Source organism: Homo sapiens, chromosome 22 (assembly GCF_000001405.40).
Source record: "Homo sapiens chromosome 22, GRCh38.p14 Primary Assembly".
NCBI classification, from domain to species: Eukaryota; Metazoa; Chordata; class Mammalia; order Primates; family Hominidae; genus Homo; species Homo sapiens.
Genome location: NC_000022.11, coordinates 18,139,884 through 18,149,597, shown reverse-complemented (window position 1 = coordinate 18,149,597; position 9,714 = coordinate 18,139,884). Strand labels below are relative to the sequence as shown.

General features: G+C 44.2%; 1 long non-coding RNA gene across 1 annotated transcript; it reads left to right on the top strand.

Moving 5' to 3' along the window:
- The first annotated feature begins 383 nt into the window (after positions 1–383).
- LOC124905076 (uncharacterized) lies at positions 384–5,995 on the top strand. The gene is made up of 2 exons (XR_007067999.1): positions 384–498; positions 3,658–5,995. It is a non-coding gene; the product is annotated as an uncharacterized LOC124905076 (long non-coding RNA).
- The last annotated feature ends 3,719 nt before the right edge of the window (positions 5,996–9,714 follow it).

Sequence of the window (9,714 nt, the reverse complement as noted above, 5' to 3'; positions counted from 1 at the left end):
TTTGGCGTTTGGTAGTATCCATGGCAGCATTTTTTCTTTCTTAATGCTATTGTATTTCTTGGATCGGGTGTCTTCACATCACCGGCCTGTGGCTTGGATGCGGCACATGGTGTAATTAGGAGCTCCCCTGTGGGCATGCAGATACAGATATTTCTCCACTTAAGAAGGGGTCAGGGGGCGCGGTGGCTCACACCTGTAATCCCAGCACTTTGGGATGCTGAGGCAGGCGGATCACCTGAGGTCAGGAGTTCGAGACCAGCCTGACCAACATAGTGAAACCCCATCTCTACTAAAAGTACAAAAATTAGCTCGGCGTGGTGGCGCTTAATCCCAGCTACTTAAGAGGCTGAGGCAGGAGAATAACTTGAACCCAAGAAGCGGAGGTTGCAGTGAGCAGAGATCGACAAGAGCAAGACTCCGTCTAAAAAAAAAAAAAAAAAATGGGGTCAAGTCCCAGTGAACCCATCATGAAGTCGAAACATCGTAAGTGAAACCACGGTAAGTGATGGACCATCTGTGTATATATAAGGTTAAGAGATCTGTAACATGCACACCGGAAAGGCTTATTACCTCTTTAGAGATGTATTTCTTGTATGTAGACTCATGGGGGTAGGGGCAGAAGGGTTATCTGCTAGGGGCCTCAAACTCCAGCCGCTGGAATTTGCGCAGGAAAGCAGGGTACAATTCCCCCAAAGCGATCATTCTTTCTGAAAGCCGTCCCCGCAGCAACAGACAAATAGCCTCCAAAAACCCAAAGCTGCCAGAACCTCACTGAAGCGTTGGTAGGGTCTGCAGTAAGGTACAAAATACCATGGCATGAAGATGTATAAACGTGTCCATAATAGGGTGGATGTGTGTTAGAAGCATGAGCACAGATATACACATACAGGCTATCCACACGTCCATCGTCAGCCCAGACTCCGCTTACATTGCTGCTGGAACGGAGGCAGTGTCGCCCACAGTGCAGCATGTTCTCCCTGGAAGGCTGGTGGACTTTGCGCAGTATGGTGTTTACACAGGTACACGGTGGTGGGCGCAGGGTCCGTCCTCATTATATTTGCTGACCAATCAGTTATATAACCAGCTTCATACATCTGGTAAGTCTTGTCCACAAACAGGAACCTCAAAAACTCAAGTGAGGGCAATGAGGAGAGGAGGTTGCAAAATTTGATAAAATATGCTAAATACAGCAAGTCAGTAGAAGGCTAAGGAGCAAGCTGCAGTTGCTTGCAGCAACTATCAGCAGAAAACTATTAATAGTCAATCCAATGATTCTATCTGAATCTTGGTAGGTCGGTGGAGCAAAGTAATTGGTGTTGCTGCCCCAGTGCAGAATGGACAAGGGTGAACCTTGGGTTGGAGGCTGGACTATATAATGTAAGGATCCATTACACTTCTATGGGGCTCTTCCTTCCGTCCTTCATGGTACCCTCCTGAACAATTCCGTGCTAAGGCCATCAGGTGTGTCAAGCAAAGTGGGCGTTTGTGTAGTATGTTCCACAGTGGCCCAAGCAGGGTGCTGGACTGGAGCAGGTTGAGGAGGGTGGCAGCACAGTGGGGCTGCCCAGCACAATGTCAGACACAAATGGGTGCTGGTGCAGCCCGGCCCAGGGTCACAGCCCAAGCAATTTGAAGATGTGGCACATCCCGGTATTGGAGTGGCCCAGTGTGTGGTGTCCAGGGAGGGCAGGGTGCTGGTGGAGATGACAGATTAGTTACATACAGGGGGATGACCAGGTAACTGAATGTATTAAGGATAATTGGAGCCAGAGTTGAAACTCTCAGAGATAGGAGTTACAAATAAGGAAAGGGAGAATGAGCCCACTAGTGTTGAACTGGAATTGGACTTAGCAGTGTGGATCCATGATTTTCAGTATGTATACACAGATAGATAAAGAAGTACAAGGCGGGTGGATCACGAGGTCAGGAGATTGAGACCACCGTGGCTAACACGGTGAAACCCCGTCTTTACTAAAAATACAAAAAATTAGCTGGGTGTGGTGGCACACGCCTGTAGTCCCAGCTACTCGGAAGGCTGAGGCAGGATAATCATTTGAACCCGGGAGGCAGAGGTTGCAGTGAGCCAAGATTGCATCATTGCACTCCAGCCTGGCGACACAGCGAGATCCCCTATCCAAAAAAAAAAAAAAAAAAAAAAAAAAAAAGAAGTACATGTGGAGGTAAACATGTGTATACATGCATACATCCCCTGACTTGGTCTGTAGGGGGCCTGGGAACAGTGACACCCCAACAGTACATCTTGCACCCAGATCTTGGTTTCTAATTCCCATTCTCTAGTAAAAGGAACCAATGTTGCTTGGAGAAATGGCTGTTTCTGGGGTTAAGGCAGAGAAAGTACAAGATGAGCCTAGGACATCTTGTTCTGCCAGCAAGTAAGGGAATGCTCCAAGAATGATGGGGATGTTTCAAAACGATGCAGAAGCCAGCTCCAAGACCATGCTCCCACTGGCCAAATTTGGAACAACTTGAGCATTAAAAGAAATGATGATTTGTTTTGTTTTGTTTTTGTTTTTGAGACGGAGTCTCGCTCTGTTGCCCAGGCTGGAGTGCAGTGGCACTATCTTGGCTCACTGCAAGCTCCGCCTCCTGGGTTCACACCATTCTCCTGCCTCAGCCTCCCGAGTAGCTGGGACTACAGGCACCCGCCACCACGCCCAGCTAATTTTTTGTATTTTTAGTAGAGACGGGGTTTCACCGTGTTAGCCAGGATGGTCTCGATCTCCTGACCTTGTGATCCTCCTGCCTCGGCCTCCCAAAGTGCTGGGATTACAGGCATGAGCCACCGCGCCTGGCCTGAAATGATGATAGTAACATTTCGACCTGTTAAATAAAATGGGAAGCCACACTTCATACCAATAAAAGTAGATACTGAATAAATTAAAAGTTTGATGAGAAACAGGATATTTACACAGTTTCAAAGTACTCTCCCACAAAATACATATTATTAATTACCATTATTACATACATGTGATACAGGTTCATTCTGCCCGCATGCCATAAATCCATCACTGTGACAGGTTTTGTAAAAGAGAAAAGATTTATTCGCAAGGCAGCCCAGTGAGGAGGCAGGAGAACAGCTCTCAAATCTTCCTCCCCAAAGATAAGTCTTAGGGATATTTACCGGTGAGAGAAGCAGGGTGGTGTAAGGTATGGGCAAAGGTGATTGGCAGTGGGGGAAAATGAGGCAGTCGGTGACCACTGCAAGCATAGTCAGGGTTCGTGGCACTTCACAGGGCACATGTTCAAAAAATGACAGCCTTAGCGTGATCTGAGGGTGTCGCTTGGGGCCTCTGATGTCAAAAGGCCACTTCTTTTGTTTGCACAAGCCTACTTGAAAGCTCACGGTCTCAACTGGTTTGAACTAGGCAGGAGCTGCCCCAAGTTCCTGAAAAACAATTTGAACGATCATGACAGTAGTGACATACATGTTATCTGTAAGGAAGCCGGCAAGGTTAAGTTACAGCGCTCAGTGGCGCGGCCTTCAGCTTCACAGAAAAAAAATAACAAAAGCAAGTGACCCAAAGCAAGCAGGGCAGGCTAAATTGGGCAGACCTAATCAGATGAACCCCATGGTCTCATATGTAATATTACATTATAACTATAAAGAATGTAATTAATGTAAATATTCGGTACAAGAAAGTCATCAGTGCGGGGAACACTGGAATTGCGTGCCACCAGAGGACAGAGTGGAGCCAGCGCGGTATCACTTCTGTGCTGTTCCCATCGAAGGTCAGTAACCGGAACCCCTTCGCCAGGACGCGGGTCCTGGCCAACCCAAATCGAGGGGCATTCTGCAGATCAGCTGGTCTGCCATCTTCAAACGATTCATGAAAATCAAAGACAGCTTTGAGGAACGGCTCCAGACTGGCAGAGACCAAAGAGGTCATAGATGAACAGGAGATCCCCAACTGGATCCTTTGGCTGTAAAGGACAATATTGGCACAACGGGTGAAGCTTGAATGGGGTCTGAGGATTAGGTGGTAGTAACTTCACAGGCGGGGATTTGGGAGAAATGCAATGTCACGTGGAAAACTGACTCTCAAATAGTTCAAGAAGGAAGTTCTTTGGACTATACTTGCAACTTTTCTGTAGGCTTAATACTGTTTCACAATTTTAAAATGTAAAATAATAGTACCAGGTAGTAGTTTTTTATTAAGACAGATTGTGCTTTTTGAAAGCATTGGTGGAAAGATTTCTCAAAATCATGCGCGAAAGAGTTTATAATGAAATTGTGTAATATTTGTTTCAAAAGAAAGTGTGGGCCCTGAGAAGCATTTTCTGTAGTTTACACAGTATTTCTGCCAATTTGGGATACTTTCAGTGTCCCTGGAATTCTCATCATCTGAATTTCTTACTCTTTTTCCCTTTAAAAAAAAATAAAATAAAGAAGTATGAGGCAAAAGGCCACACCTACCTACCTCACTTTAAAATTCTGTCTAAAAACCTGGTCACAGAGGAAGATGTTGGCTAACTTTAATGCGATAATCTAGTTCCCCTCAAAATGGAAAGCTATTTAGAAAAAAGCTATTTGCCCAACGTGAGGAACAATTTATAGAAACTGACAAGAATTTTTGTCCTGGGGAAAGGACAGGGTTTGTTGCATGGGATAAGGGGAAGTGATGTGGCCGGGCATGATGGCTCACGCCTGTAATCCCAGCACTTTGGGAGGCCGAGGCAGGTGGATCGTGAGGTCAAGAGATCGAGACCATCCTGGCCAACATAGTGAAACCTCGTCTCTACTAAAAATACAAAAATTAGCTAGATATGGTGGTGTGTGCACCTGTAGAACCAGCTACTCGGGAGGCTGAGGCAGGAGAATCGCTTGAACCTGGGAGGCGGAGGTTGCAGTGAACCGAGATCGCTCCACTGCTCTCCAGTCTGGCGACAGAGCAAGAGTCTGTCTCAAAAAAAAAAAAGCAAGTGATTTTTTTTAAAAAAAGAAAACAGAACCGATGTCTGAAAAAGTAGTACTCCTTTACAAAACACATTCTCTACAAACGCGTGGTTTCATGTGACCTCTGCTCAGTCCCTTTCCACAACTTTCTCCTGCCTATTTTCTTCTCTGCATTTTGTCAGGATGCTTTTTATTGTAAATTTTACTGTGTTTTGCATGCTTCCAAATATAAAAAATAATTTTTAAGATGAATTAAACATTGAACCTCCCTCTCAGTATTGTTTTGGGAACATGCATTCTCCTGAGGAGAGGGAGCTGTTGAGTGGAAGCAGTCAAACAGAACTCCACATTTCATTTTCCTGGCATGGGTTTCAGGGTGCAACTCAAACAGAATGTGACTTGGCATCTGTCACCTTTCCCAGGCACTCCCTATCCTCTGGCAATTTGTTGCCTTAATGGAGAACCATTCAAAATTAAATATTTTATATTAGAAAAGAAATGTTAAACATAAAGAAAAGTTATACAAATATTATAACAACCTAGTGAGCCTTCCTTCACTAATTTTCTCTCTCATACACACACATCTATGTGTATGTGTGAGTACACAGTATATATGTGTATATATTTACACAATCACTTTTTTTCTTTTGCTGGACTACTTGAGAGTAAATTGAAGAGATTGACATTCTTCAGCTCTAAATAATTCAATATGAACCTCATAGGATCAAAGATGTTTTCATACATAACCCCAGTGCAATTATTACCAAATTCAGATAATTTCATATCCGTACAATTTTCCCATATATAATATATTCAATATTTAAATTTTGACAGTTATCCCAGTATTGTTTATACAGCAACTGTTTTCCTTTGTTTCTTATTTTTATAGATACATAGTAATTGTACATATTTATGTGTTACATGTGATACTTTGATACATGCATACAATGTGCAATGATCAAATCAGGGTAATGAAGGTATTCATCACCTCAAACGTTTATTATTTCTTTGTACTGGGAACATTCCAAATCTTCTCTTCTAGCTATTTTGAAATATACAATAAATTATTGTTAACTATTATCACTGTACAGTACTATCATTCCCTCTATCTAACTATCTTTGTACCCATAACCAACACTTTTCATCCTTCCCTCCCTCCTATTGCTTGCCAGCCTCTGGTAGTCATCATTCTACTCTCCACCTCCCTGAAATCAACGTTTTTAGCTCCCACATAGGAGTGAGAAGGTGGGATATGTATCTTTCTGTGCCTAGCTTATTTCACTTAACGTAATGTCCTCTGGTTTCATCCATGTTGCTACAACCGACGGGATTTCATTCTTTTTATGACTAAATAGTATTCCACTGTGTATATGTAGTACATTTTTTTTTTTTTGAGACAAAGTCTCGCTCTGTCACCCAGGCTGGAGTGCAGTAGCGTGATCTTGGCTCACTGCAAGCTCCGCCTCCCGGGTTCACGCCATTCTCCTGCCTCAGCCTCCCGAGTAGCTGGGACTACAGGCACCCGCCACCACGCCCGGCTAATTTTTTGTATTTTTAGTAGAGACAGGTTTTCACCGTGTTAGCCAGGATGGTCTCGATCTCCTGACCTCATGATTCGCCTGCCTCGGCCTCCCAAAGTGCTGGGATTACAGGCGTGAGCCACCGCGCCCGGCCTTATCTAGCATGTTTTTTATCCATTCATCTGTTGATGGACACTTGGATTGATTCCATATCTTGGCTATTGTGACTAGTCCTGCAGTAAACATGGGAGTGCAGATATCTCTTCAATATACTGATTTGCTTTCTTTTGGGTGTATACCCAGCAGTGGGATTGCTAGATCATATGGTAGTTCTAGTTTCAATTTTTTGAGAAACCTCCATACTGTTTTCCACAATGGTTGTACGAATTTTCATTTCCACCAACAGTGTACGAGGGTTTCCTTTTCTCCACATCCTCCCCAAAATTTGTTATTTTCTGTCTTTTGATAATAGCCATTTTAACTGAGGTGAGATGATACCTATTAATGTGGTTTCAGTTGCATTTCTCTGATGCTTAGTGATGTTGAGCATTTACTTATATACCTGATGGCCATTAGTATGTCTTCTTTTGAGAAAATGAAAATCTTTTTCAGATTATTTGCCCTATTTTTGTTTTGTTTTGTTTTTGAGATGGAGTCTTGCTCTGTCACCCAGGCTGGAGTGCAGTGGGACGTCTCGGCTCACTGCAACCTCTGCCTCCTGGTTCACGCCATTCTCCTGCCTCAGCCTCCCGAGTAGCTGCAACTACAGGCGACCACCACCACACCCGGCTAATTTTTTGTATTTTTAGTAGAGATGGGGTTTCACCGTGTTAGCTAGGATGGTATCGATCTCCTGACCTCGTGATCCGCCCGCCTCAGCCTCCCAGAGTGCTGGGATTACATGCCTGAGCCACCACACCCGGCCCATTTGCCCATTTTTAATCAGATTGTTTCCTTACTATTGAGTTATTTGAGGTTCTTATACAGTTTATATATAGGTAACTAATCCTTTGTCAGATGCAAGTTCGCAAATATTTTCCCATTCTGTAGGTTGTCCCTTCCCTGTTATTTCCTTTGCTGTAAAGAAGCGTAGACGATTCTTTTTTTTCCCCTCCCCCTTCCCAGCTTAGAAGATTTCTGACAAGTGTAGTGAAATCAACAACTGCTCTGCAAGAATCAGATTCCAGGGCAGGCACAGTGGCCCATGCCCATAATCCCGGCACTTTGGGAGGCCAAGGCGGGTGGAGCACCTGAGGTCAGGAGTTCAAGATCAACCTGGCCAACATGGTGAAATCCCATCTCTACTAAAAATACAAAAAAAAAAAAAATTAGCTGGGCACAGTGGTGAATGCCTGTAATCCTAGCCACTTGGGAAGCTGAGGCAAGAGAATCGCTTGAACCCAGGAGGCAGAGGTTGCAGTAAGCTGAGATTGTACTGTGTCTGGAATTGGTTCCTTCTGGTGGGTTCCTGGTCTCGCTGACTTCAAGAATGAAGCTGGGACCCTCGCAGTGAGTGTTGCAGTTCTTAAAGCTGGTGTGTCTGGCGTTTGTTCCTTCAGATGTTCACAGGTACCTGGAGTTTCTTCCTTCTGGTGGGTTCGTGGTCTCACTGACTTCAGGAGTAAAGTCGCAGACCTTCGCAGTGAGTGTTACAGCTCTTAAAGGTGGCACGTTGGGAGTTGTTTGTTCCTCCGGGGGGTTCGTGGTATTGCTGACTTGAGGAGTGAAGCTGCAGACCTTCACGCTGAGTGTTACAGCTCATAAAGGTAGTACAGACCCAAAAAATGAGCAACAGCAAGATTTACTGCAAAGAGCAAAAGAACAAAGCCTCCACAGCATGTAAGAGTACCCCAGCGGGTTGCCCCCGCTGGCGCAGGTGGCCAGCTTTTATTCCCTTATTTGGCCCCACCCACATCCTGCTGATTGGTCCATTTTACAGAGCGCTGATTGGTCCATTTTTACAGAGTGCTGATTGGTGCCTTTACAAACCTTTAGCTAACACAGAGTGCTGATTGGTGTGTTTTTACAGAGTGCTGATTGGTGTGTTTACAAACCTTTAGCTAGACACAGAGCACTGATTGGTGCATTTACAATCCTTTAGCTAGACAGAAAAGTTCTCCAGGTCCCCACCTGATTAGCTAGACACAGAGCGCCGATTGGTGCGTTTTTACAGAGTGCTGATTGGTGTGTTTACAAACCTTTAGCTAGTCACAGAGCGCTGATTGGTGCATTTACAATCCTTTTTAGCTAGACAGAAAAGTTCTCCAAGTCCCCACCCGACCCAGAAGCCCAGCTGGCTTTGCCTCTCAGTACCACTGCTCTCCAGCCTGGGCGACAGAGCAAGACTCCGTCTCAAAAAAAAAAAAATAGCACTAAAAGAAACTTATTAAAAAAGAAAAACATTGTCAGGTCAGGCTAAAGGTTAAAGAGGAAAAAAAATCACAGGGTAGGGTCAAAGAGTGGCGATAACAGAGAAGAGAGTCATGAGACTTGAAATTAAATAATAGAAATTACTCAATATTAACTGCAGAGAGAAAATAGACTGAAAAAAATTAGCAGAGCCTCAGTAACCTGTGGGACTGTGATGAAAGATTTAACATCATGTCATCAAAGTCCCCCCAAAAAAGAGAAAAAAGCATGAAGCTGAAAAATATTCAAAGATATGATGGCTCAAGATTTTCCAAAAATTGCAAAAGACATAGCCTAAACCGAATAAACTCCTAACAAGTCTGAGGCAATCTATATCAATATATATATCATAATCAAACGCCTGAAAACTAAAGGCAAAGAAAAAAGTATTAAAAACAGCAAGACAGAAATTCTACCATATTTATAAGGGAAAAGCAATTTTTTTTTTTTTTGAGATGGAGTCTCGCTCTTTTGTCAGGCTGGAGTGCAGTGGTGCAATCTCGGCTCACTGCCACCTCTGCCTCCCGAGTTCAAGCGATTCTCCTCCCTCAGCCTCCAGAGTAGCTGGGACTACAGGCGCGCACCACCATGCCCAGCTAATTTTTGTATTTTTAGTAGAGACAGGGTTTCACTGCGTTGGCCAGGATGGTCTCAATCTCTTGATCTCATGATCCGCCCACCTCGGCCTCCCAAAGTGCTGGGATTACAGGCGTGAGCCACCGCGCCCTGCCAGGAAAAGCAATTTTTAAATGACGGCATATTTCTCCTCCGAAATCACAGAGACCAGAAGGAAGTGACACAGTATTTTCCAAGTGCTGAAAGAAAAGCAGTGTCAATCGAGAATTCTATTATCCAGTGAAAACAGCCTTC